General features: G+C 48.2%; 1 non-coding gene and 2 pseudogenes across 1 annotated transcript, besides 3 other annotated features; 1 reads left to right on the plus strand and 2 right to left on the minus strand.

Annotated features, from left to right (window-relative positions):
* Positions 1-1,640: 1,640 nt before the first annotated feature.
* On the plus strand, positions 1,641-8,413 carry LOC101928948 (translation initiation factor IF-2-like; annotated as a pseudogene).
* Positions 1,758-2,067: a silencer, noted in NCBI's record as "silent region_15268". NCBI's record gives its function as "represses an Ori minimal core promoter by ATAC-STARR-seq in GM12878 lymphoblastoid cells {active_cell/tissue: GM12878}" and the evidence as "EXISTENCE:reporter gene assay evidence [ECO:0000049][PMID:35858748]".
* Positions 2,078-2,147: a silencer, noted in NCBI's record as "silent region_15269". NCBI's record gives its function as "represses an Ori minimal core promoter by ATAC-STARR-seq in GM12878 lymphoblastoid cells {active_cell/tissue: GM12878}" and the evidence as "EXISTENCE:reporter gene assay evidence [ECO:0000049][PMID:35858748]".
* Positions 2,672-3,548: an enhancer, noted in NCBI's record as "H3K27ac-H3K4me1 hESC enhancer chr4:9534696-9535572 (GRCh37/hg19 assembly coordinates)". NCBI's record gives its function as "activates a minimal SCP1, AML or CMV promoter by ChIP-STARR-seq in naive and primed H9 embryonic stem cells {active_cell/tissue: H9 hESC(naive and primed)}" and the evidence as "EXISTENCE:reporter gene assay evidence [ECO:0000049][PMID:30033119]".
* Positions 22,630-23,722, minus strand: RPS24P11 (ribosomal protein S24 pseudogene 11; annotated as a pseudogene).
* On the minus strand, positions 25,763-25,911 carry MIR548I2 (microRNA 548i-2). Its single transcript, NR_031688.1, has one exon. It is a non-coding gene; the product is annotated as a microRNA 548i-2 (primary transcript).
* Positions 25,912-27,746: the final 1,835 nt, after the last annotated feature.

Genomic DNA, 27,746 nt, shown 5'->3' on the forward strand with positions numbered 1-27,746 from the left:
CTGTTTTTATGATACAGATTAGACTTCTGCTCATCTGACCTAGAACTCTTCTGTAAACACAGATCAAGTACAAATGTGGCAGGCTTCTTATCTATTTTACCTCTAGGAATGGCACGATCAGCTGGCATCATAGTTCTCTGTGAGTCAGACTATCCCGGTTGTAGCTTTGACTCTGCTGTCTTTTATGGTAACTGCGACCACCTTGCCTTTGGGGATTGAGTGCTGCAATCACTTGGTCCTGGCCCCTGTAGTGTGCCTATGTCACTTACCCTCTTCATACCTCAGTCCCCTCCTCTGTAAAATGGGCATCCTAATAGCACCAAACCCCAGGGCTGCTGTGAGGTATACATGGATTAGCATATGGAAAGCAATAGAAGAGGGTCCAAAGCCCATGTGTCGTTATTAGAATTATTTCATGACAGGGGAGAGCTGGAGGAGAGAGGAAGGTGCTTAGCAGACCCATGTGCTCTCCCACCAGTGTTTCCTGAGCACCTACTATGTGCTGCCCCCTGTGAGAGCTGTTAGGGTTGAAATAGGGAGCACAGCAGGGTAGGGGCCGCCATTAGGAGCTTAGTGGGGAGACCATTGTGCAACATGGTTCCAGCGCTTGGGGTGGGGAAGCTCAGGGAGTAGAGGGGCCTAGGATCCCGGGCAGAATCATGGAAAGGACACAGCCTCCCCAGCCTCTCCTGCCTCCACTGCCTCCCTGGCCTCCTCTGCTTCCCTGGCCTCTCCTGCCTTCCTGGCTTCCCCTTCCTCCCTGGCCTCCCCGGTCTCCCCTGTCTCTCCTGCTTTTGAGGTAGGCCAGGAGCTGCTGGTGCTCACTTAGCCTGTCCTGGACTCTTGGTGTAGCACCTCGTTGTCCATAAAATACCCAAGGGTTCAGCTCATCACACAGCCAAGGAAGGAGCTCCACACTGACACTAAGGGTGCATCCTGGGCTCATTCATCAGGGCATGCCTCCAAAATATTTCTCCACGTCTCCTCCCTTTGCCCACCTGCACTGTCTCTGTGCCTGAGCCCCGGCTGGGGGCCTGCAAGGATCCCCTATCTCCTCTGTCCCTGCAGGGCTGGGTCCCAGGCAATCTGTCCGCCCACAACCCCTCTCTCCCCTTGCCCACCATGCTCCAGCCTCACAGTCTTCTTTCTGCTTCTTTCCCAGCCTCTGGGCTTTTGCACACGCTGAACCCTCTGCCTGAACACCCTCCACTGGGCTGAGAACAACTCTCTGAGACCTCTCTCAGCTGTTGCTTCCTTTGGAACAGCCGCTGCTGCTGTCCCTCTCCCAGCTCCAAGACCTGCTGAGCCTCCTGTCTTTCTCAGTTCCCATGCCCCCAGCACTTCTCCTTGGCCTCCTTTGGCCCAATTGACAATGTCCATTCTCAATGCCTTCTCACCCAGCGCTGAGTCCCACTGGGTGAAGGCCATGCCTTTCATGTTCACCACAATATCCCCTCCCCCATCACCACGCCCGGTCCACAGTGATGCTCAAAAAAGATCTGTTGGTAGGCAATGCGAAGGTGCATTCATGTCATCCTGCAGGCGGAATTCTCCAAGAGTTTTGAGCAGCCTCGGTTTTCCCACCACCTCCAAATCATGCAAGACACAGGGTAAGAGCAAAGACAAGATGGCTGTGGCCGATGTCCACCCTCTCGGGGCGTCCCTTCTCTTCTCTCCTCCTTGGGCAGGGAGACCTTCGGGGTGCAAACTGGCTGGGGCGGGGAGGAGGTGCAGGGCCTGGCCGGAGCGGGCCTGGCCACGGGCAGGGGACAGCGACCACCTGGGCCGGGGCAGGTGAGCGCGGAACAGGCCCCGGCCCGGCGTGTCCGCGGTGCGCGCGAGCGGCCAGCAGAGGGCGCCAGAGAGCCAGGAGCGGCCGGCGGAGGAGCCCGCGCCGACCCCGTTGCCCAGCTCCGCGCCGCGCGGACCCAACGAGCTCGCGCTCAGACGCCCCAGCTCCGCCCAGAGGCCGCTCGCGCCGGGTCCTTCCTCTAACCCAAGTGCAGGCAGAGCCCCCGGAGCCATGGCCAGCCCTTCCGGCAGCTCCAAAGCCACAGGCAAGCCCCGAGGCTGGGATGGCCGGCCCAGGAGGGAGGAGGACGACGTACCTCCCGAGGAGAAGAGGCTGCGGCTGGGGCTGGAAGGGGGAAGCGCACAGCCCGAGGACTGCGAGGACGGGGAGGACGCGCCGCGGCCAGGCAGGGAGGAGACCGGCACCCAGACAGGTGGCGACGGCAGAGGAGTAAGTGACGCGGGCGTGGGGGTCCGGGGGTGCGCGGTAGGGGCGGCGGGAGGCTCAGTGGCCGGCCCCGGGTTGAAGTTGGTAACTGAGCGGCAACTCCGGCGGGCGCGGAGTTACAGCTCGTGACGGCCTCCGAGACGCCAGCTGCCCCTTCTCGGATGTGTGGCTTCGACTTCCTGATTCTCCCACGACGTCCCTGGCTGGGAGACCCGCTGGACTCTGCGGCTGGCCAAAAGGGGAAGGGGAGCCCCGCGTCCTGGGTGCCCCCAGCAGGGGAAGGGGGGGGTCGTGCTGGGCATCCTGTCTGGGGCATCTGTCTGGGACTCTGTCGGTGCCTCTCACCTGGCGAGGGGCTTGTGGTGGGGGTAGGCGGGAAGTCCTTGGCGCCGGGCTTGGCCAAGCCCTGCTCTGCTGGGCTGCGGGCTGGTGGCGCTCACCCAGCTCCTCACCTGCCCCGCGTCCTCCTGTTTTTCTTCCTTTTCTGGTTGGACAACGAGAGTTGAGAGGAGGCAGATGGCTTCCATCCCAGAAATCGCTCTCCTCTTTCCATCCCTACAGAGAGGGACAGAAAGGCAAAGTTCCTTGCATCCCCTGGGGCGCTGTCCCTGTGAGCTCCCGGTGTCCTGCACACGTGGGCCCCTGAGTCACCGGGCCTGTGTGTGTGCGATGGGGCTCCGTGGCCAGCCTGGCCTCCTGGGGTTCACTTTCTGCTTTCCTACCCCAACTCTTCCTGTGTGGCTTTGCTGGCCTTCCATTGGGGAGGCACATGGGTTTGGAGGGCAGATGAGGGCCCGCTGGAGAGCTGTACCCCTCAGTGAGGGCCGCCACCTTGATGGTTTTTGATGGATAATGGGGTTGACCTCTTTGTTCCTTCCACATGTTTTTATGTTTGACCATTTAGTCAGCTGAGCTTGTCTTAATCATTTGATTCGTGGTGAATGAGCCCCACATGGGCGAGAGGGCGACCTTCATTCTGAACCCATTTAGGCAGCACGGGCAGCCCTCCTCGCCGTGGGCTGCATCAGAGCCCCCTGCCCAGTCTTGGGGTTGCTCCCGGATGCTGTCTGGGAGGCTTGCTCATGGTGACATCCTCATCTCCCCATGCACTTTACTGCATTCAGAGCTTGGGTCACCTGGACACTGAACTCAGGTGAATTTTCTCTGAGATCCCGGGAGAAGGAGGACAGTTCTCTGGAAGGGTTTCCACGGCCGATCACGGAAAGGGTGAGAAAGGAGAGGTCCTGGTCGGCGACACAATTACGGTGGCAGTGTAACGCCAGGAAACTTTATTGCGTGAAGTCCCTCTCACTCCCTCTCCCTCCCTCTTTTACGTGGACTCTGCCAAAGACCAGGATACCAGAATGCAGTGGAGTGACCAAGTGTAGTGGGACCTTGGGAACACGAGTCTGGAGCCAGGCGGCTGGGGTTTGCATCCTGGTTCTGCCCCTCCTTAGCTGGCTGGCATGGCACAAGCCACTTACCCTCTCTGAGCCTTACTGTCTTCAGTGGCAAATGGATCTGTCAACAGGCCCCATTGCCTGGGGTTGTTACTGCTGAGATTAAGGGAAGCTCGTCCATAGAAGCACTTAGCGTTGTGCCTGACACATAGTGTTTGGTGGATAAATGGGACTTAGGACTGAAACTCATGCATTGGTGTGTTTTTGCAGTGACGTTTTGTTCTGGAGTGCATCACAAGAGAAAAGATTCTTGGCCGGACGTGGTGGCTCAAGCCAATAATCCCAGCACTTTGAGAGGCCGAAGGCAGGGGATCGTTTGAGCCCAGGAGTTTAAGACTAGCCTGGGCAACGTGGCGAAGCCTCATATCTACCAAAAGAGAAAAAAAAAAGCCACGTATTGTGGTGTGTGCCTGTAGTCCCAAGTACTTGGGAGGCTGAGGTGGGAGGATTGCTAGAGCCTGGAAGGTCGGGCTGCAGTGTGCTGTGGTCATGCCACTGCACTCCAGCCTGGGTGACAAAGTGAGACCCTGTTTCAAGGAAAAAAGAGAGAGAGAGAGACAGACCCACAAGAGTCTTAAGCCAGAATCTCCATTAAAATGCTTTCTGGAGGCTAGAAGGATGGTATGTTGATAATGAAATATTTAAAAGGCAGAAACCCCACTGAATTGTTTGGTCCACAGAGGGAAATGGGAATCGCATGACCTGAAGGATGATGCAGGAACTGAACAGAAACCATCCTTGTTTCCTGAATCTGAATATGGCACCATCTTTTCACGGTGCCTGTATCTGCTCAGTCCGGCGGCCCCTCGAAAAGAGGGAATCTTGATTTTCAAACTTAAAATTTGGCCCAAAGCTCACTGCTGCCCACAATGCCCGCCAGACACATTCCTCTTCCCTTTTAGTTTCTATGGGAATACTCTCTTTGAAGAACCCATGAAGCAGTGTCAGGCTGGTTTGAGGATCAGCAGCGATTTGTTTGAGCAGGAGAGCCCGTTTCCTCACTCACAGGCCATATCTGAGTGGATCAAGAAGAACAGAGTGCACTTTTATGAGATTTTGTCTGCGTAGACCATTAGCTTGGTAAAAATGTCAAAACCATCCTCGTTCTTTAATAGCAGATTATTTTGGACTTTTCTCTGCAAGAAGCAGTATGGGCATTCAGATGCTTTTAAGGATAAAATGTTCTTCCTCATCACCAGGCCTGGTGCTCTGGATGGCTGAGGTTTTAATGTGACTTGGTGTTCCTTGGAGTGGCTCCTAGGCTGTGCTCTTGTGGTTGGGTGGCAAGGGGTTGCTTTATTCGGTGGTGGCTAGAGGATGTTTTAGCAGGTAAATCGGGCCCCCAGGAGCCCCTGAGTGCCAAGTCCTGCTGCAGGGCATGTGTTTATGGTGGGGATGTGGGGGGGTGCAGGGTAGGGGGCATTGATTTCCTGCCAATATCAGAAGTTTCACAGGCTTCTTGTGTATCCACAAACACCCACCCCATTGAGAAGGCCTAGAAAACCTGGCCCTCCCCAAGCCTTTATTGACTGCTTGTGAGTGATCCCAGGGTGTGTCTGACCCACAGCTCCTCCTGGAGGGAGAGAAAAGTCTCTCCTAGGTATTTGGTTATCAACCTCAACCACTTGCTGAGCCTTCCTCAAGACCAGGCACCTTGGCAGAGATTTCTGGGTTGTCAGGCGGAACCGAGCATTCAAGGGTAATTCATTGGTGTCCCTGAAATCCCTGATGGACGCACCAGGTAAAAGCATCCAGGGTTGAAACCAGATCAGGAAGGTTATTGTCAGCCTGGGGCTCCTGTAGAGGTGCATCCACGTTGCAGGGATTTTCCTTCTTGCTGAGGAGAAACCTGGGTTTCTCAGCTTTGGCACAGTCACAACACTTGGGGTCAGACCATTCGTGGTGCTGGTGGTGGGGCCATCCCGTGTATTGTAGGATGGTTAGCAGCATCTCTGGTCTCCATCCTCTAGGTGCCATTCTACCCTCCCAGCTATGGCTACCCCAGATGTCTCCAGACGGTTTCAAATGCCATGGAGCAAGGGAGTGGTATGTGAGCAAAACCACCCCAGTTGAGAGCCATTGGTCTACACTTGTGGAAATGTTTGAGGGTAAGAGTGTTGAGCTTGGGTCCCTGCTGTACCCTTTATGAGCAATGCTTTCTTGGAAAATTACTACTACTCCAGGGGCCTCAGTTTTCTCATCTATAAAATGGAGATAAATGAGATACACTTTCATAGGAAGACTATATGGGATTTACTGAGATAATAAGACAGTACATGGAAAATGCTGGGCATAACATTTATTTTTATTTATTTATTTTTTTAAGACAGAGTCTTACTCTGTTGCCCAGGCTGGAGTGCAGTGGCAAGATCTCCGCTCACTGCAACCTCCACCTCCTGGGCTCAAGTGATTCTCCTGCCTCAGCCTCCTGAGTAGCTGGGATTACAGGTGCCCACCACCACACCCAGCTAATTTTTGTATTCTTAGTAAAGATGGGTTTCACCACATTGGCCAGGATGATCTCAAACTCCTGACCTAAGGTGATCCGCCTGCCTCGGCCTCCCAAGGTGCTGAGAACACAGGTGTCAGCCACCACGCTGGGCTGGGCATAGCATTGTAACACAGACAAAGCACAAAATACTTGGGCAATATCTTTTTACATTTGGCTTGTCTAGACTGCATCCTCCATCCCCTCATGCGCTGGTGTGGTGCGGTCCAGAATATCGCCCACCTAGACTGCAGAGTGGATTTGGGTGGCATCTTGGCTTTCTGCACAAGACTTGCCTGTTCCCCACCACATCCCCCTGGTTCTCAGGGTCCAGGATTCCAGGAGTCTGGGATGTGGTCAGGCAGGGCAGGTGGCCCACCCAGTTCACTCCCACACTGGGGACCTGCAGAGCCGGCTGTCTGAGACAGGGTGTTTGGACCAACATCTGGGTTTCTGGATTTCCATTTGAGCACAGCTGGACTACACAGCTCTCTCTGCCGAGATATAGATATTTCCCTGTCGACAATGTTTCAAGCTGACATGAAGACATGGCCACCCACTGGAACGTGGTGTGTCTGCTGTGGCGCTCTTGTAATTTGTGAGGCAGGCTCCTGAGGAATGCAGTGAGTAAGTGGGAAATGGCGGGAAGTTCTCCCATTCCCCCCCACCCCTCCAAAAGTGCTGCTTGCGCAGGTTGGTGGACGGTCCTCTGAGCAGGAAGAAGACAAGGAGCACATTCCTGTTAGCTACCACAGAGAGGGGGAGGGTACGCACTGGACATTTCAAACCCCTGCAGAGAAGCAAGTCTTACTGTGCTGGGAGTACTTGTGGAGTGCGGGCTGTGTTGCCCTGGGCTTTAATTATTTCAGGAACATTTAACCACTGGGCTGGCCGGCTGGATCTTGATATGTGTTTCTCAGTTGGAAAGACTTTGGTCCATAGGGAAATGTCTTCTCAATTCTTTTAATTTCATTAAGGTGGTTATTTTTCTTCTTGTGGCCTCTGGAATGTGACACAGAACTCAAGGGACAGGAAGGAGATGAGTTGGAGGCTGGGTCAGGGGTCCCTGCCAGGGATGCTGGTGACTCACGTGACGGTGTTGATGTGTGGAGTCCGGTGCCTGGTTTGGGGAATGTTCATGGGATATGTTCCACAACACTGACGGATCTATCAGGTACTGGAGGTGAATGGTCAAGTCTGATCTCAGGGCTGACAGTGTCAGGCAAGGACAGGAAGTTGACATTGGACTCATTGGCTGAGGTTGCTGGGGACCCAGGGGGCAATGTGTGCCAGGACAGATGGGTCTGGGGCTAGGAAGGCAGGTTTGGGCTGGAGACTCGGTCTTGGGAGGCATCCCATTAGACAGTGGTTGAGGCTGTCAAAATGACTGTGATTGCCTGGGATGAGAGTGGAGACAGACAGGATGGGGGTTTTGCTCTAAGCCTGGGGAACCCACCTCCCAGGTTCAAGCAATTCTCCTGCCTCAGCCTCCCAAGTAGCTGGGAATGCAGGTGCGTGCCACCATGCCCTACTAACTTTCGTATTTTTAGTAGAGATGAGGTTTGGCCAGGCTGGTCTCAAACTCCTGACCTCAAGTGATCGGCCCACCTTGGCCTCCCAAAGTGCTGGGATTACAGGCATAAGCCACCATACCATGCCTGACCATTTTTAAATATTAATTTTTATGAAATATTTTCAAACACATTTTACTGTACATTGGAAAAGTCAATCATGATTTCAAAACTTTATCAAAATCCAATCAGAAGTCAATTAACCATTTAATTGTGGATAGGTAAGGAGACTATTTTGACCAAATATGTTAGAACAATTACCACTTATAGAAATAATCTATGTTTTAATGTTTTAGTTGAATTAAACAATCTTTTATATTCTGTCCAGACACAGTGGCTCACACCTGTAATCCCAGCACTTTGGCAGGTCGAGGCTGGCGGATCACCTAAGGTCAGGAGTTCGAGACCAGGCTGGCCAACATGGCGAAACTGTCTCTACTAAAAATACAGAAATTAGCCAGGAGTGATGGCACACACCTGTAATCCCAGCTACTTGGAAAGCTGAGGCAGGAGAATCGTTTGAAGCGGGGAAAGCGAGGTTGCAGTCAGCTGAGATCACACCACTGCACTTCAGCCAGCCTGGGTGACAGAGCGACACTCTGTTTCAAAAATAAACGAATAAATAAAATGGAATTCTGAATTTTATTTTTAATAATTATTTTTGTAAAGAGAATGTCTTGTTTTTTGGAGTTGTTGAATTTATTGAATTGACAAAAATTATGTACAAGAGGGTGTACAACATGATGTGATTGAAGTATGTATACATTACGAAATGGCTAAATCAAGCTAAATAACATATCACCTCCCAGACTTATTTTTTTGTGGTGAGAACACTTTAAAAATCTACTCTCTCAGTGATTTCCAAGTGTATGATATGTTGTTATTAACTGTAGGTAACATGTTGTCCCATGGATCTCCTGAACTTAGTCTTCTTCTCTAAAAATGACATTCTGTGTCCTTTGGCATCTGCCCACTTCCCCACCCTGGCAACCATCATGCTACTCTGCTTCTGTGAATTCAACTTTTTTCTTTTCTTTTTCTTTTTCTTTCTTTCTTTTTTTTTTTTTTTCGAGACAGTCTCATTCTGTTGCCCAGGCTGTAGTGCAGGGGTATGATCTTGGCTCACTGCAGCCTTGACCTCCCAAGCTCAATCAATCCTTCCACCTCGGCCTCCTGAGTATCTGGGATACAGGCATGCACCACCACGCTCCACTGATTTTTGTATTTTTATGTAGAGATGGGGTCTTGCTATGTTATGCAGGCTGGTCTCGAACTCCTGGGCTCAAGCAATCTGCCGGCCTCAGCCTCCCAAAGCGCTGGGATTGCAGGCATGAGCCACCATGCCTGGCCGAGTTCAACTTTTTAAGATTCCACATATAAGTGAGATCATGTGGTATTTGTCGTTCTGTGCTTGGCTTATTTCACTTAACATAATATCCTCCAGGCTCATCCATGTGGTCTCAAATGGCAGGATTTCCTTCGTTTTGAAGGCTGAATAGTATTCCATTGTGTACATACACCACATTGTTGCTGGAAGTGTAATGGAGGCCAGTTTGGGGAGGAGGGGGAAAAGATTCACTCTAAGTCTAGATGCTCCAGCACCCACCCAGGATGTGTGCAAGGAAGTGCAGGATGCTCCTGATTTTGCAAACTGTGGTTTGTGGGACTCCAAAGCCCCTATCCTTCCACGATGCTTTCTGTCTTGTTATCACATTTCCTTGGAGGAGAACCCTGCTCTGGCTTTGTCCCTGGGCATGAGATGGCAAAGGATGGTGCTGCTGGGAGACCCTCACGTCTGCACACTAAGGGCTGCTTTCCTTCTCCATTCCTCCTTCAAGTATCTGAGCAGCTCCTGTGTGCCAGCTGCTGGTCTAGGAGATGGATGGGTCCTTGGAGATCACGCTGTAGCAGAGGAGGCAGGCTGTAGCCCACAGGCCAGAACCAGCCCCCTGCCTGTTTATACAAATAAAGTTTTATTGGAACACAGCCACACCCATTTCAGTGCATATTGTCTGTGGCTGCTTTCCTGCTACAGTGGAGAGTTGAATAGTTGGGACAGAGACCCATGGCCTGCAAAGCTGAGCTATTTACCATCTGGCCCTCAAGAGAAAGGAAAAAAAATGCTGATCCTTGTACCCTGACAGTCTTAGTTTAAGAGGACTTTGTACCACCCTGACGTCCCAGGCGTCCATGAGTCCAGCTGCCCTTGAAATGTACATAAGTCTGGGCTAGGGTTTCAGCAGGTGAGTCCCAGTTTTGCAGGTCTTTGGCATCAGGGGCACAACCCAGGATTTTGAGTGGGGTTTCCTCACCACTATGGCTGGGCACTGGGCTAGCGTGCTTTCTGATTTTTGTATGGGGAAGAGAAAGGAGGGAGGAAATGGCCACTTGTTGCCCTGTTCTAACATTTTCCTAAGATGGGTCTCCAGGCAAGGGCTTGGGATCTCACCTTGCACAGCTTACAAAACCCAGTGAGACCAGCTGTCTTGGCGCTGCCACTCTGAGGGATGGAGACCCCAACTTACCAGGAAGGGAGATAAAAGAATGGTTTCTGCAAGCACGAGAACGGGCGTTATTGAAATTAACATTTCCCCCAAGTTTTATAAAGTCTAGGCATGCATATTTAAGTGTCTGTCTCAAAAGTTCATGCTAATAACCAGATGGTGCATTTAATTTCCTTTTTTTGTTCTCTGAGCAACATGCAGCTTCCTGCACAGCCCTCCTTGCAGGCAACTGCGCTGAGGTGACTGTCCTCCTGACTGCCAGCACAGATCTCCAGGGCCTCTGAGAGCCCTGTATTCTGGGGGCAGCCTTTCCCCTTCTATTCGGCCCCAGCTGGAAGGGGGCAGGTTACCCACAGCCCAGCACAGGGCTCCTGCCTTAGCTTCTCTAGGGAGTCTGGCTCCCTCTGACCCTCTAGACCTCACCAGCTGAGGATCATAGCCCCAGGGCAGGAGCCAGGGCCAGGTGGTTTTGTGGGGTGGTTTGAGAGTGCAGCACTGGAGGGGGGCAGGGCGGGCCCAGGGAAAGCTGCTCAGGGGAGACTGCAAAGAGATGGCAGAGTTAGGACAAGAGGGCTGGACATGGTGGCTCACACCTGTAATCCCAGCACTTTGGGAGGCCGAGGTGGGTGGATCGCCTGAGGCCAGGAGTTTGAGACTAGCCTGGCCAACATGGTGAAAACCTGTCTCTACTAAAAATACAATAATTAGCTGGACATGGTGACACCTATAATCCCAGCTACTTGGGAAGCTGAGCCACGAGAATTGCTTGAACACAGAAGGTGGAGGTTGCAATGAGCTGAGATTGTGCCACTGTACTCCAGCCTGGGCAACAGAGCAACATTCCAACTCAAAAAAAAAAAAAAAAAAAAAAAGAAAAAGAAAAAGTCAGAACAAGAGGAGGAGGGAAGAGAAGGGAGCTGTGGGGCAGCAGCCAGGACCTTAAAGGCACAGAAGAGGCAGCTTGGATTTCCAATTCCAAAGGACATGAAGACAAAGTCACACACCTTTATTTAACCTGCTCCAGGTGAGGCTGGGCTTTGTGTATTTTCCTTATCTTGATTTTCCTTGTGTTCAGGCTGTTGTAGAAACAGGTACACAGGGGCTTTGTGTAGCGCCGTGTTCTGGGGGCCTTCAGGAAGCATGGGCTGCCCTGGTTTCCTGGGCTTTGTGTCCCCCTTTCCTCCTGCCACCCCTGACTGTGCACCCCACCTTATCCCTCAGACCATCCTCCTGGAGGGGCTTGGCCAGGTCTTGTGTCCTTGCTAGTCTCTGGGGAGGAAGACTCTGTGGCTTGAAAGCCTGTCGGCTTAAGTTGCAAGGTATAGGTGCCTGGGAGGGCACGTGCACGGCCCTCTTGACTGATCCATTCATGTTTTTCTTTTTTGACTCTGTTCTATGTTGTCCTGATGGAAGGGTAAGTCCCTGCCTTCTTCCTTTCCTGCCTTGGACTCTTGCAATTGGGCCAGATGAGAGGGTCTATGTGGTCTGAGAATTCAAGCAATGCAGGCCAGGTGTGGTGGCTCACACCTGTAATCCCAGCACTTTTGGAGGCCAAGGCGGGTGGGTCAGGAGTTCGAGACCAGCTTGGCCAAAATAGTGAAACCGTGTCTCTACAAAAAATACAAAAGTTAGCCGTGCTTGGTGGTGCTTGCCTGTAATCCTAGTTATTTGGGAGGCTGAGGCAAGAGAATCACTGGAACCCAGAAGGAACATGTTGCAGTGAGGAGCAGGTTGCAGTGAGGAGGTTGCAGTGAGGAGGAGGTTGCAGTGAGGAGGGGGTTGCAGTGAGGAGGAGGTTGCAGTGAGGAGGAGGTTGCAGTGAGCCGAGATTGTGTCCCCGGACTCCAGCCTGCACAATAGAGCAAGACTATTGTTCAAAAAAAAAAATTATATAGAAAACAAAACACATAATTTCCTCTTGATTTGATTTTCTTGATCTTGCTTCTCAGAGGTAACACTGGGGAGGGTGGGGGTATACCTCTCCACACCTTTTTCTTTTATTTTTATTTTTTAAGTTCTGGGATACATGTGTAGAATGTGCAGGTTTGTTACATAGGTGTACATGTGCCATGGTGGTTTGCTGCACCTGTTAACCCGTCATCTAGGTTTTAAGCCCCGCATGCATTAGGTATTTGTCCTAACGCTCTCCCTCCCCTTGTCCCCCACCTCCGACGGGCCCTGGTATATGTTGTTCCCCTCCCTGTGTCCATGTGTTCTCATTATTCAACTCCCACTTATGAGTGAGAACACGCAGAGTTTGGTTTTCTGTTCCTGTCCACACCTTTTTCTTCTGTGCACACAAGCACATGTATTTGCACATAAGTGTTTATTGTAACCTTTTTTAAAAAAATGGAATAATGCTATATTTATTCTTTGGAAAGCCTGCTTTTCAGGCAGCATGTCTTTGACATTGTCTCACGTTGGAACCTGGGAACCACCTTCTTCTCCCAGCAGTTATTCTGACGTGTGGATGCACCACGCTTCGTTTAACCAGCCCTGCACCGATACGTCTTTGGATGGTTTCTGCCTTTTCCCAATCACAGACGGTGTTCTGATGAATTTCCTCGCACACATCACTTGGTGCTCTGTGCGTGCATTTCTGTGAGATGTTCCTGGAGGTGGGCTGTCTAGGTCAGAGGGGGATCTGCGCTTAATTTGCATCCTGTGCAAAATTCCATCCAGTCATCCTGCTTCCCAAGGGCTCACATGGTACTGTCCTCTGTAGACATCATCTTCTGCAGATGATGGCACGACCGCCTCTCTTTCTTTTACTCACACCAGTCTGCACCCTGATGTCCTGGGGGGGTCCAGCCCCTACCCGCTTGTCTGCCCCCAGTCCCCACAGCCCCTGCTAACAGGGACTCTGTCTTCTGAGCTCTGGCAGACTGCTTCACTCTGGAGAAGTTTCCTTTCTCAAACATTCCTGGCAATGTTACTGTAAATCCCGAGGCCTGTGTTTGCCTTCTTCAGGCCTCAGTTTTCTCATAAGTAAAATGGGGATAATGTGATGCTACTGTCTGCATCCTAGAGCTGCCATGAGGGTTCAGTGAGATCACTGTTGAGAGCACGTTCACAGCGCTGGCCTTGTGCACAGTCAGCACATGTTGGGCAGGGCTGTTGCTGATACGTGGTTGACTGTCATTGCTAGACTGTGGCTTTACCAGGGGCATTGTCTTTATTGCCGAGCCCAGAGCCACCCCTAGTACCTGCTGTGTTTATAGAGTGATTGAGTGGCAGGGTCAGAGACTGGGGCAATGGCAGCAGAAACAGAGGAAAGAAGTGGGGCTTCTAATAGGTCCTGAGCCAGTGGCCCTTGAGATGAAACCTTCTTGCCAAGGTCTGGGGCTGTGCTGTGTGTTCTAGGCCCGAGACTGGAAGCTAGGCCTGGCTGCAGCTCCCGCTGAGCTGGGGAAGTGCAGGTCAGCATCCTGCTTCATTAGGACACCTCCAAGCCCAGCTTAGACGTGGATGCCAGGTGACCCCCTGTTTACTCTGAGCCCAGACAGAGGACAGGGAAGTGTGCAAGGGTGGGGACCCCCATCACAGCCCTTGACTCTGTAAGGCATATGGGTTTGTGCACCTGTTTGAGCACGGCCGTGGCTTCTCTGAGTTTCAAGCTCGAGGTTGTGTTTATGCAGGGTTAGACTTCCCAGGTAAAATACAGGAGGTCCAATTAAACCTGAATTTCTTATTAACCTTTTTTTTTTTTTTTTTTTTTTTGGGTGCACATATATCCCATGCAATATTTGGGACCTGCTTACCCTAAAAAATGATTTGTTGTTTATCTGAAATTCAAGTTTAACTGGCATCCTGTCTTTTCACTTCCTACGTATGAGAGTTCCATGTGGGGGTTATCAGTGTGCATTTGTGAGTTCCCATGTGAAGGACTGTCTCCAAGTGTCTGTAGGTGCCAGGATGGAGATGGACAGAGAAGATCCTCTCGGGCTGCTTTAGTGACACCTAGAGGCTGTGGGGTTGGACACTTCAGCCCCAGGGGCCTGGGCAGCACTGTCCAGCACCTGCCTGCTCCTGTCTTCTTCACGGGGGCTGACTTCCCTGCCATCTTTCTCCAAATACGGTGGCAAGAGCTATCCCATCCACCCCCATCTGGAGCTCAGCTGCCCAGCCAGACAAGATGGCAAACAGTGTGCAGATGGCTTCAAAGCTTTCCCCAGCTCCTTCTGCAAGGGGCCTGCAGATGAAATGGAAGCCCTCATCCTCACCGCCTCCCCCTTCCAGAAAACCCAGGCAACAGCCACCTCTGAATGCTGCTTTAGAAGCTTCTCCCTCCTGGTGATTAAACCACTCCAGACAAATAAAAAACTGCATTTCCACCATAGGTTTGTTCACATGCATGCAGCCAATTGTCTTGGATCCGCCTGTGTGCCTGATTCATCAGGGGGAGGGGTTCTCCTCTGAGGTGCTTGCAAAGAGCTGCTTGCAAAGAGCTGCTTAATTTTCATCTGAAAAACTCTCTGTAGAAACCAGGTCCAGCTTTGGAAGGAAGCCCTTTCTCCCCCTTTAGCAAATTCTGTGTCATTCTTTTTTTCTTTCTTTCTTTTTTTGAGACAGAGTTTCACTTTTGTTGCCCAGGCTGGAGTGCAATAGTGCAATCTCAGTTCACTGCAGTCTCTGCCTCCCGGGTTCAAGCGATTCTCCTGCCTCAGCCTCCTGAGTAGCTGGGACTACAGGCACCCACAACCATACCCGGCTAATTTTTTTGTGTTTTTAGTAGAGAGGGAGTTTCACCATGTTGGCCAGGCTGGTCTGGAACTCCTGACCTCAGGTGATCCACCTAGGCCTCCCAAAGTGCTGGGGTTACAGATGTGAGCCACCATGCCCGGCTGGAATTCTGTGTCATTCTGGATACTTATCACGACTTCAAGCATCCAGAACTCTGTCCTGGGTATCCTGAGCCTGAGTGTGTATGTGTGTCCAGCTGGCTTGGAGGTTGTCTACAGGCAGGTGGAATTTGGCCTCTGAGTCCATGGCAGCCTCACATGGGAAATACCACCAAGGAGCCTCATGCTGCACTTTTAGGAGATAGTTTCTATTTAGTCATTGCTGAATCTGTTACAGACAGGTTCTCAATTTCTTGCAAGTCCTGTATGAGGTGGGTGCTGTGATTATCCACATGTTCACTTGTTCTCTCTGGCCTCTTTCAGGCTCTTGCATTTCCTTTGCTGTTTTCCTGCCACAGGGCCTTTGCACATCCTGCTCTTTCTGCCTGAAAGATTTTCCCTCTCCCTACCTCTTCACCTGGTCACAGTCTCATCTGACAGTGGAGTCACTACATCCTCAGGGATGCCTGGCCACACTGAGTCAGTCACAGCAACCCCCTGTTATCTGCTTTCATGACACCAGGTGCCTCTCTGTGGTAGACACTAGCTCAGCTACGGCTTCCTATTTCTGAGCATGTCATCCTTCCCCTTCAAGACTGTGGTCACCATGAGGGCCAGAGCCATGCCTGTTCCTGATTCTCATTTGTGTCTCTCGTGTTTAGTATATGCTCACCTAGAGTTTGATTAATGAATGACAGCATACCCATTTTACGGATGAGAAAGTTGAGGCTCAGGAACATTATGTAACTTGCTCAGTATTAGGTGGTGATGGTTTGAAGCCATCTGACTGGTCGCTGGGTGCACACTCTAAACCACTTCACTATGGTTCTTCTCTCATGGTAGCTCTCCAACAGCAGGAGTGAGAGACAACTTTAGGATAGGTGTAACCAGAATCTCAGGGCTTATCCTAGAAGGTGGTGTCAGGAACATGCTTGCCTATGGGCCTTCTTACTGTATTGCATAAAATACTCCGTTTTTCTGACTCGCCTTTAGTAAAGACCTTAGCAATATTTGAAGCACAGTTGTCAATAGGAAAGGGTTGGTGTTTACACTTTTTTAAAAAGGAGTCTATATCATATTTATCTTGTGGTCTGCCATGCCCCCCCGATCTTCTTCAGCTTCAGTTATGCAAAATTAACACTTCTTCTCTTGACAGCCTCTCTCTTACCTGTTCAGTTTCTTTTCTGTGTTCGAGATTGCTTAGAATTTTTCCCCATTACTACAGCCTGCTTCCCACCTGCATCCCCCACCCAGCTTGTTCTGGATTTTGTCAACAACAGTTCCAGCATTTAGTGAGGGCTGGATTGAAGGAAAACCTTGGAAAAGGATGTGTGATGAAAGATGAAGACACCTAATGGGCAGGCAGTCATCAGGGTTAATTCAAAGGCTGGAAGAAGGGCTGACCTGGAGGACTGGAAATGTCTTTGAGCTGAAGGTCATGTGCAGGTGGAGTGAAGAGTGTGAGCCTTTTGGGGTGAACTGCAAGTATTTGATAAGATCCCTGTCCCCATGGTTGGGGAAGTCTTGATAAGCATCCTTAATGTGATGCAGGGATTAAGGAACCCCTGGCTCTACCTGCCCAGCATGGCAGTAACATGACATGGCCAAATTATTAATTATTGGTTGTCCAGCTATCATCAGATCAACATCTTCTGTTAGTTATAGCTGTAATTTGCATTAGTTGTCAATGCCAGTTTTGACTTTCCTGGTCAATAAAGTGTTCTGAGAGTGGTGACTAAGGCTGAGCACTACCCATTATCATGAGTATTACAGAGGCAAGCCCCCTTGCCCACCCACCTGCAGGTGATGAGACACCCTAGGGAAATCACTCAGTTCTTTGAAGGACCCTGCATAAATGCTCAAGTTCATCTGTTCTTCTGTCCATCCATCCATCCACCCTTCCATCCATCCATCCATCCATCCATCCATCCATCCAGACATGTATACATCCATCCACCCCCTACCCATCTGTCCACCCACCCACCCATCTATCCATCCAACCCACTCTCTTACGCACCCAGCTATCATCCATCTACCCACCTACCAACCCATCTATCCATCCACTCACCCATGCATCTATCCACCCATTCACTCATCTACCCATCTATCCACCCACCCGTCCATCCATTTATCTATCCCTCCACCCATTCACCCACTCATCCATTTCTCCACCCACTCAGCCATCCCTTCACCGACTCAACCATCCATTCATTCGTCCACCTCCCTGCCCACCCATCTTTCCATCCACCCATCTATCCACCCACCCACCTATGTATCCGTCCATCTGTTTGTCCTTCTGTTCATTTATTCCACAAAGACTCATTAACCACCTACGAGATTCTGGGGAGGTATCTGCTCTAGTAATTGAGAACACGGTCTCTGGAATGTGATTCCCTGGGCTCAAACTGAGCTGCCTCCTAGCTAGCTGCTTGGGTAAGTTACAGAAACTGTGCTTTGATTTTCTTATCTGAAAATTGGCTATTAATAGCTTCTACTCTTGCAGATATAGTGAGGATTAAATAAGATGTCACATTAAAAGTGCATCATCGACACTCAATAGAGATTAGGTTTTACCATTCATTATTATTGGCAGATGCTGCAGATAACGTGGAGAGCATACGAAAGAAATATGTTTGAACCAATACTGACATACAGGTGCTAAGTTCTGCAGTAGGGGAAGGGCAGAGAGCCATGGAGAGGGTCTGGCCCAATCCTGGAGCCTCAGAAAAAAGTTCCCGTTGAATTGCTGTTTTAGCTGAGACTTGTGGGATGGGTAGTAGTTGGAGATCCCAGACAGGAGGTGACCGAGTTAGCCAGGGAAAAATTGGGTCCTGGCACCCCTGGCAGAGTTGAGCGATCCAGTCCTTCTGTCTCCTCTGGCTGGAAGTCCACCAGATCTGGGAATGTCCGGTTGGGGGAGGGGGCTGACAATGATCATGACCTTCACCTGTCCTCACATATCCTCGGTGTGTCTGTAAAGCCTCTTCCTCAGTCTCCTCTTCTGGAAAGTGGTATTGGAAACCACATCTGCTTCTCTCCCAGGACTGCTAGGAAGACAAGATTAGATGGCAGGTGAGAGCTCTTTGAAAATGAAAACATTCTGCTATTTGAATGCAAAGTGTTCTTCTTTGCCTGTGATGTTTCCTAATCAGTGAACTCATACTGGACCTCGAAGCTGTCTATTAACAAAAATAGCAAAGTGGCTGTTCAGGGTGGCTCATGCCTGTAGTCCTAGCACTTTGAGAAGCTGAGGGCGGTGGATCACTTGAGGCCAGGAGTTCGATACGAGCCTGGCCAATATGTGAAACCCCATCTCTACTAAAAATACAAAAATTAGCCAGGTGTGGTGGTGTCTGCCTGTAGTCCCAGCTACTTGGGAGGCTAAGGCACAAGAATCATTTGAGCTCAGGAGGCAGAGGTTGAAGTGAGCTGAGATGGCGCCACTGCACTCCAGCCTGGGCGACACAGCGAGGCTCTGTCTGAAAAAAGAAAGAAAAAAAAAGGCAAAGTGAACACTTCCTCCATCTCTCCCCCGGGGGAGGCAATTTGTCAAAGATTGTTGTTGGATTTTACACACAGGGAAATCTAAGGAAGGTGTGGAAACCAGACCAGGACTCCAGACTCTGGTCTCCCTGTTTACAGGTTCTTAAATGGGGGAGACACTTTGGATTCTTTCCACAAGATTGCTTTGTAAATAAAAACAAGAAACAAACAAACAAAAAAAAACTCAAAAAAGCAGCCCTGACCTAAATATTCACAAGGGACCTTAGGCAATATCTGCAAACAAAAGTGAGTGATGAGTGGAATCTGTCATCTTTACAACTAAGACAGCTCCAGAGTTGAAGCAAGTGGAAATATTTCTAGAGACAGAGATTTGGGCAGGTTTTGCCAGTAACAAAGTATGAGAACCTGGGCAGGTTTACCTCTCTGAGCTTCTGTGACCTTGTAAAATAGGCTGCATTGCACCAAACATGCAGGAGGAATCCCAGCATCCTCCTGTGCACAAGGCTGGTTTCTTCCCATCCTTTTCCTTGTTCTGCCTCTCTCCTCCTCTCCAAGAGATAAATACATGTGGACCCAGCAGGGGCCTATGTTTGCAAAAGCTCTCAGGTGATTCTCATGCAGCCAGCCTGGCTCTGGCACTGAGTTCTTTGACACTTCTGGGGGCGCATTTACTATTGAGGAAGGTCACTGTGTGTGAAAGGCATGATTCATCTTCCATTCCTTTCTTCCATGAAGCAAGGCGCATGGGTCGACTGAGCTGGGAGAGTCCACAGAGATAGCCTCCCCCATGCTTCCCTCCCTCCTTATTCCTTGTGTGCTGTACTTTGTCTTGATTTCCTGTACTCTGCACCAAGCCAGGAGATGGTAAGATCTCAAAAAAAATCATTTTTTGGGGAAATGGGATCAAGAGGGTTTTTGTTTGCTTGTTTGTTTGTTTGAGACAGGGTCTGTCACCCAGGCTGGAGTGCAGTGGCATGACCTTGGCTCACTGTAGCCTTGACTTTCTGGGCTCAGGTGATCCTCCCACCTCAGCCTCCTGGGTAGCTGGGACTGCAGGTGCACACCACCATGCCTGACTAATTTGTCTATTTTTTGTACAGAGGAGGTTTCACTATGTTGCCTAGGATGGTCTCAAACTCCTGGGCTCAAGCAGTCCTCCATCCACCTCGGCCTCCCAAAGTGCCGGAATTACAGGCATGAGCTGCTGTGCCTGGCTAAGGTTTTTATTATTATTATTATGAAAAATTTTCAATATACATAAAAGTAGACTAGTTTAATGAGCTATCATATACCCATCACATAGGTTTAAAAACTATTAACATTTGCAATATTTACTCCATTTGTTTTTCTGAACTATTTAAAAAAGTTTACAGTAGTTATGTAATTACATCATGATATTCACCCCTACGTAATTTACTTTCCCTCTAAAAACATGAGGGCATTTTTTATATGATCATTGTCATACCCAATCAAATTACCAGTAATTCCTTAATATCCTTTAAGATCAAGTTTACATTCAGATGTCTTGTCCTCAAAATGTCAATTGTGATAATTTTTTCTTTGAGCAAAGATAATAAGATCTAAATATTTAATGACAGAGATTCCATGTTAGCACTGATGTCTAAGCTCTGTGGTCCATTGTGGCTTTACTTGAAAGTCTCAGGCTAGGCGTGGTGGCTCACACCTGTAATCCCAGCACTTTGGGAAGCCAAGGTAGGTGGATCATGAGGTCAAGAGATCAAGACCATCCTGACCAACATGGTGAAACCCTGTCTCTATTAAAAATACAAAAATTAGCCAGGCGTGGTGGCGGGCGCCTATAGTCGCAGCTACTCAGGAGGCTGAGGCAGGAGAATTGCTTGAACCTGGGATGCGAAAGTTGCAGTGAGCTGAGATTGCACCACTGGATGCCAGCCTGGGTGGCAAGAACGAGACTCTGGAAAAAAAAAAAAAAAGTCTCTCACTGTGGTCTCATAATAAAAGGACACTCCATTTCCCATCTGGCCCCTGCTCCTTAATGTTAGCCCCCTCCTGTGGGGAGGAGGGGGTGACCTTCAGCGCAGGTTCAAGCATTCCCAGGGCTGGCTCTGTTCCCGATAAAGCCCATCGTCATGAATGAGTGTTTTCCTTGCAGGTTATTCTAAGTATTGTAAATAGTGCACATGGAGCATCCTCATGATGACTGGGATGGTAGTGAATATTTATAGGTTTCTTTTAGTACCTTTTTTTTTAGCGTTTTCCATAGTTCCATGTTTCTACAACCCCTGGGAACATCAGAATCATGTGTGTGTGGGTGCTTATTAAATACACCAATTCCTGGGCTCACTCCCAGTGACTCCCAGTTTGATGATTGGGGGCTCAGCTAGGACCTATGTTTTCAAAAGCTCCCAGGTGATCTCATGCAGCCAGACTGGCTCTGGCTCTGGCTCTGGGAGCTGGGTTGGGAACTAGTCTTTGGTGCTATTCTGCTGAAACTTCAAGTTGGGCTCTTTGACTCCATCTTGTATTGTCATCACTTGTATTCAGGTCTGTTCTTCCTCTGGATTGTAAACTCCTTGATGTCTGGGTCATCTCAGCTCATGAGCTGAGCTTTCAGTCGGTGCTCAGTGGAACAGGTGCTGGATGCAGTCAGGCTCTAGGGAGGCCAACGTGTGTTGGTAAGTGAGTGAAAAAAATCATTTTAAAAAGAAACTTTTTGCTCTTCAGTTTTGTTTGCCATGAGTCAATGTGATTTACTGTAGTGGAAGCCAGTGCAGCTTAAGTGGAGGTCTTGCCCTGAAATGGAGCCAGGTTATGGATCAGCAGAGCTGCCGAAAGCATTTTGGGGGAAATGTTTCTCTGTCACCCTCAGTTGACTGAACTCAAGTTTTCACTCCCGTTTAACACGACGTGGGGGCCATTCTGACTTCTGCGGAGTGAGTATGATCAGATCTTCTGTAAAAGTGTAAGTGAGGAGGCTGGGCACGGTGGCTCACATCTGTAATCTTAGCACTTGGAAGGCTGAGGTGGTCAGATCACTTGAGGCCAGGAGTTTCAGACCAGCGTGGCCAACGTAGTGAAACCCTGTCTGTACTAAAAATACAAAAATTAGCCAGGCATGATGATGCATGCCTGTAGTCCCAGCTACTAAGGAGGCTGACGCAGGAGAATCGCTTGAACCTGGGAGGTGGAGGTTGCAGTGAGCTGAGGTTGCACCATTGCACTGCACTCCAGCCTGGGTGACAGAGCGAGACTCTGTCTCAAAAAAAAAAAAGTGTATGTGAGGAAACTGGGATAGAGCTTGAGGATGTTGGGGGATGGAGGTACTTCATCTACTGAACAACAAAAACCATGGGATACCAATGCTGGAGGAAGAGGCATCATCCTCAGTTTCTACTAACTCAACCACGCATGAGATGGGGACTTGGTGTCCAAGAGAAGAGCCTCTTTTTAGGTCTTCAGCCTTGATCAAACCATTTCTGAATCCCTTACACACATATAATCAGGTGCTATGAGTGGTACCGATTGGATAATCTTTCTGTCTTTTCCTGTGCTAGGAAGGAAAATACATGTACAGCCAACTTCCTTGAGGGTTCATTCTTTTGCATCAGGGTGTCTCAAATTCCTGCCCTTAAAACACCTGTAAGAGAATCATCCAGGCGGCTTGCTCACTCTGCATGCAGGCCCTTTAGAATCAGTCAGAATCCCTGGGGCTGGAGCCACAAAATGAAATGACATTTCAACAAGTTTGTCATCACATAAGAGAGAATAGGTGAGTATTTGGATACCTATAATACAAAGTAGATTCAAAAAGAATGACTTGATTATTTTAAATGTTGTGTTTTAAAAAATTTAATACAGAAAAGGCTGGGCATGATGGCTCACACATGTAATCCTAGCACTTTGGGTGGCCAAGGCGGGTGGATCATTTGAGGTCAGGAGTTCAAGACCAGCCTGGCCAACAAGGTGAAACCCCATCTCTACTAAAAATATAAAAATTAGCCAGGCGGTAGTGGTGCACGCCTGTAATCCCAGCTACAGGGGAGGCTGAGGCAGGAGAATCGCTTAAGCCTGGGAGGCGGAGGTTTGGTGAGCTGAGATCATACCACCGCACTCCAATGTGGGTGACGATTGTTTAACCACCACCAAAATGGGTTCTGAGTCCAAATATTAATATGAAGGACATTGGTGACATTGTCTCAAAAAATTACTGAATACAGAAAAGTACAAAAAGGGAGAGAAATCACCCCAAATCTCACGACCCCAAGAAATAAACCTCCTAATATTAAGTGAACAGCATTCCTTGCTATGCACAAAGATGGCTAGAGACATGAACAGACACTTCTGATCACACAAAATGAGATTTTAAAAACAAGAAGTAGCAAATTGAATGCTGGGTAAATTTATCAGAAGAAAAAGAAATGGAAGTGAAACTGAAGGAACTGGTCAACTCAGATAAATGTAGTTTTTCCTCACTAAAAATCAGTTTCTAGAACATCTAAGAAATCAAAGATGATGAAAAATATTAAGATGTTTTATATATATGTAGAAGTCCTTACAGTTGAGTGATCATCTCATGAAAAATTTGTACAGTCACTGCAAATAAAGTCATTGCAAAATCTTTACTCCTTTTGCTTTTTGCCAGCACTGACATTGGCCTTTGCAGTCTCTTGACTTCATTCTGCCCTTGCATTCCTTTTGCTGTTTTCTTGAGGTCATCTTCTTCTCATGCCAGCCGTGTCTTGCAAGTCTATGTTTGAGTTCATTTTTCTTTGCATAATTCAAAGAACCAGATAGCATGCCAAAGACCATTGTTTAACCACCACCAAAACGGGTTCTAAGTCCAACTATTAATATGAAGATGACATCCATTGTGGTCTTGTACATTTTGTTGCCTTTCCGGGGTGAAGGACATTGGTGACCATTTGTTTCCTCTGGAGTGGTCCATTGGTCATGAACTTCCTGGTCCAGATAGTTACTGTGTCATTCATCATGGTGGTTGATCCTCAGGTAGTTAGGGAGGAAAATAAACAAGAAGTTACATATTTAAAACCATGTTTCAATTTTAGACCTGATTAATTGACTTAATAAAGGTCATTAGCACTTCTACTTCCTACAGTCCCTCCCTTTACCTCTGGAAACTAGTTATTTCTAGGTTGTTTTATATTGTTGAGGTTGACCACCTTTTCTTTCTGTTCTGCAATCATAGTCCTATTTTTAAATGGATTCACCTCTCATCACTAGCCTTTTGTCATGGTCATTCAATTCACAAGTTGCTTATTTTTTAATTTCCTGGCTGACTAAATTTTATTATGGAGACTTTTTTTAAAAAAAGAGCTCAGAAATACTGTATTCTTTAAGTTCTTGAACATGTGATAGTGTCTTTTGCCTATTTTGATTGGGCAAAAATTTAGCTGGCTATAAAATTCTTGGATTATACTCTATTTCCCTTAGAAATTATAGGCACCCATCCACTGACATTTCATTGTGTTTTCTTTCTTTTTCTTTTCTTTTTTTTTTTTTTTTTTGAGATGGAGTCTTTCTCTGTCACCCAGGCTTGAGTGCAGTGGTGTGATCTCGGCCCACTGCAAGCTCTGCTTCCCGGGTTCACACCATTCTCCTGCCTCAGCCTCCTGAGTAGCTGGGACTACAGGTGCCCACCTCCATGCCTCGCTAACTTTTTTGTATTTTCAGTAGAGACGGGGTTTCACCGTGTTAGCCAGGATGGTCTCGATCTCCTGACCTCGTGATCCACTGGCCTTGGCCTCCCAAAGTGCTGGGATTACAGGTGTGAGCCACTGTATGAGCCCAGCCTCATTGTGCTTTGTACTAACCCCCTTTCCCTGTCCTCTTCCAGCTTGTCTTCTTCTATCACAGTAGTTTCTTCATGAAGAGGCCATGTGCTATATTCCATGAGATATTTCACACTCAAAGAAGACTTCTTTTATACTCTTTTGATAATTTGTCTGGGAATCACTCTCTTGATTTATAAGGGAGTTTGTAGTAAATACAGTAAAAGGGAAACACACAACGTATTTTGAGACATCAGAGAAGGGAGAAACCAATTCTATTAATATTTGGGGTTAGCAGGGAAGGCTTAGTTAAGAGGTAACATTTGAACTAAGCCTTGAGATAAGGGAAGGATTTGACCATGCAGTAATGGCGAGAGAGTAGAAGCAAGACATTATGGTTAGTGTTATGTAACAATTTGACTGGGTTGTGGGGTGCCCAGATATTTGGCTACACATTATTCTGGGTGTGTCTCTGTGGTATTCTGGATGAGGATAACATTTAATTGCTAGACTGAATAAAGCAGATTTTCCTCCCCAGTGTGGGTGAGCCTCATCCAATCCACTGAAGGCCTGAACAAAACAAAAAGGTAGAGTCACAGAGAATTTGCTCTTTTTACCTGATTATATTTGAGCTGGGACATCAATCTTCTCCTGAGTGTAGATGTGGACTCGAGTTGGAACTATATCATTGACTGTCCTGGGTCCCCAGCTTGCTGGCTGCAGACTCCAGGACTCCTTAGCCTCCATAACCATGTGAGCCATCCCTTACAACTAATCAATCTGTCTCTCTCTATGTGTATAGCTCTACCTCTATCTCTCTGCTCTTTCTCTGGAGAACCTAGAGTAATACACAAGGTTATATTAGAGAAGAGGATGACCCAAGGAAAAGCATGCAGGCAGAAAAATGCAAAGAGGGTTTGGGAAGACTGGGGTCCTGATGGGGAGTTTGGATTTCACTGTGTGTAGCATGGAGAATCCTTGAAAATATTCAAGAGGTGAAAATTGTATATGTGGAAGAACACCAGGAGTATGTGAAAAGAAAAACACTCACACAATTTTAACTCCACTGAAGGGGACATCAAAGGGATGTACTGGGGACATGGGTTGGAGGGTAATTGAGGCCATATCTGGAGGATCTTTACTTCTAGGTTGAGTCTGAAGTTATCTTTCTGGGAAGTGGGAGATTACAAATCTTTGAGCTCCACTCAAGAGAAGGTTTTGCTAACAATGGCAGGGCAACAGTGGTGGTGGTGGTGGTGGGAAACTGGTAGCATGAATTCTAATTGGGCTTCTGTTATTCTAGCTGAGAAAGTTGGGGAATGGACTTTCAGTAGAATAATACAGATCTGGGAATCAACTGCATGGAGGAGGTAGTTATAGGTGATGAGATGGATCAGGGACGAACTTTGTTAGAAGGAGAAAAGATACTAGGCTGGTACAAAAATAATTGCTATTTTTGCCATTACTTTTAATGGCAAAATCCGCAATTACTTTTGCACCAAACTAATAGGATGCAAACTTCGGAGCCATCTACATCAGAGGGATTGATGAAGATCAACGAAGTTTGGGAACACAGGAAAGGAGCGGGGAGGATAATGACTTGAGGGCATAGCAGGGTAATCAAGGTTTTTCTTGTTAGCATGTGGAGACTTAAGCATGATTATATGTTAAACGCCTGGCACATACAGGGTGAAAATATTTATAAGTGAAATGAGGAGTGTGAAGGTGGTGAGTCATGGGAGTTCCAAGGGAATGGGTGATAAAGGGAGGTCTCAAATGAGGCACAAGTGGAGAAGGTAGCTTGGGAAAGGAGAAGGATGCTTCTCCTTATAAGATGGGAAAGGCAGAGGAAGAGGGTCAAGATACAGTGATCTAGGGGTGATATGGAAGTGAGTTGAGAGAACTCAACTCTGGGTTCTGAAACCCCTAGGTTTGGGGGGCTTTGAGATAGGGAAGAGGTTTAAAGTCAGTTGTTCTAGCAAATATGGTTTGGAATTTATTTGTGATGCTTAAAAATATTGCTGAAGAGAAGTGAAGTCTACCCTAGAGTTGGATGGTGAGATTATTTAGCGGAACTACCAGATCCATGTTGTGATTCTTTCCAGTATCATTCAGCTGCCCTTGGGCAGTTGCGAGGCAAGTCATCAGTGGGGTATGGAGATTTTCCAGGTGGGTGTGGTTGAAGGAAGGGAAGAATGAGTTCAGGAGCACATTACAAAAAGAAGGTGACTGTAAGGTCTAGGCTGAACAGGAAGGTAAAGCAAGAAAGAAACATGAGGTTGTGAAGAGAAGTTTAGAGGGATGAGGAGGCAGGAGAGTTGAAGAGTTGCAGGATGTAGCTAGAGTGGCGATGTTAAATCTTGGGGCCAGAGAGCTTTACAGTGATGATGAAGATCAAGTGGCATTAGAATCAAGCTATAAAGAGCCACTGTTTGATGTTGGGATGTGAGGATGCTGCAGGTGGATGTCTGCACATTGATGGTGAGAACGTGGTCACCCTGGCCCTGCTGGGTCTTTGCTAAAGAGACTGTACTCTGTTCTTGGGGCCGTTTTCATCACCTGATTAGAGCAGTGGTCCCCACATGGTGTTCTTTGGACCATCTGTATAAAATGTTCATAGGTCAAGGATAAAATGGAAAAACAGAGAAAATATCAGAGAAGTGTGCCCATTGGTGAGAGACCACCAGCTGTCCTTTTTGGAGGATTGTTCTTTATTCTAAAAATGTATATATTCTATTCTATTAAAACATATTTGTATTTGCATGTTTTCTCTTTTATGAAATGCCATGGGGTAGAAATTTGTAATGTATCCATTTCTCCTGACTTCATGCATTGCCCTGTGGTGGGGAAGGGGATGTGGCTAGAATTGGCCAAGAGGCTGGGGGCAGAGGTGCAGTGTGAGACTTCTAGCCTGGAGCATTTAATTCCTAGTACAGGGCTCTCTAGCATTCTTCTCCCTCTGTTCCCTGCTTGGTGATACTCGAGGTAATGCAACCCCCATTAGCCTTAGTCTTAGGGCAAGTTTGATGGAAAACAGAGCACCCCACACCTCCCTGCAGATGTAGCATGAGTGAGGAAAACAACTTCTGATGTTTGAAGTTGCCAAGATTTAGGAATTATTTGTTATTGCAGCAAAACCTAACCTATTCTGACCAATCATGGTGTAATTTCTGTGTGTATGTGTGTGTCGTGTTTGTGTGTGTGTGTGTGTGTGTGCGTGGTACAAAACTGGTAGTTTAAAAAATTTCCTTCTTACAAAAACAAAAATAGCAACTTTATGTTGGTTCTCAAATTAAAAAAAATATTTTTACTGGTTTATGAAATAGAAAAATCTGAGAATCTGTAGCTTAGAGACCTACAGCGTGGGA

The sequence above is a fragment of the Homo sapiens genome, chromosome 4, assembly GCF_000001405.40.
Source record: "Homo sapiens chromosome 4, GRCh38.p14 Primary Assembly".
Lineage (NCBI taxonomy): Eukaryota > Metazoa > Chordata > Mammalia > Primates > Hominidae > Homo > Homo sapiens.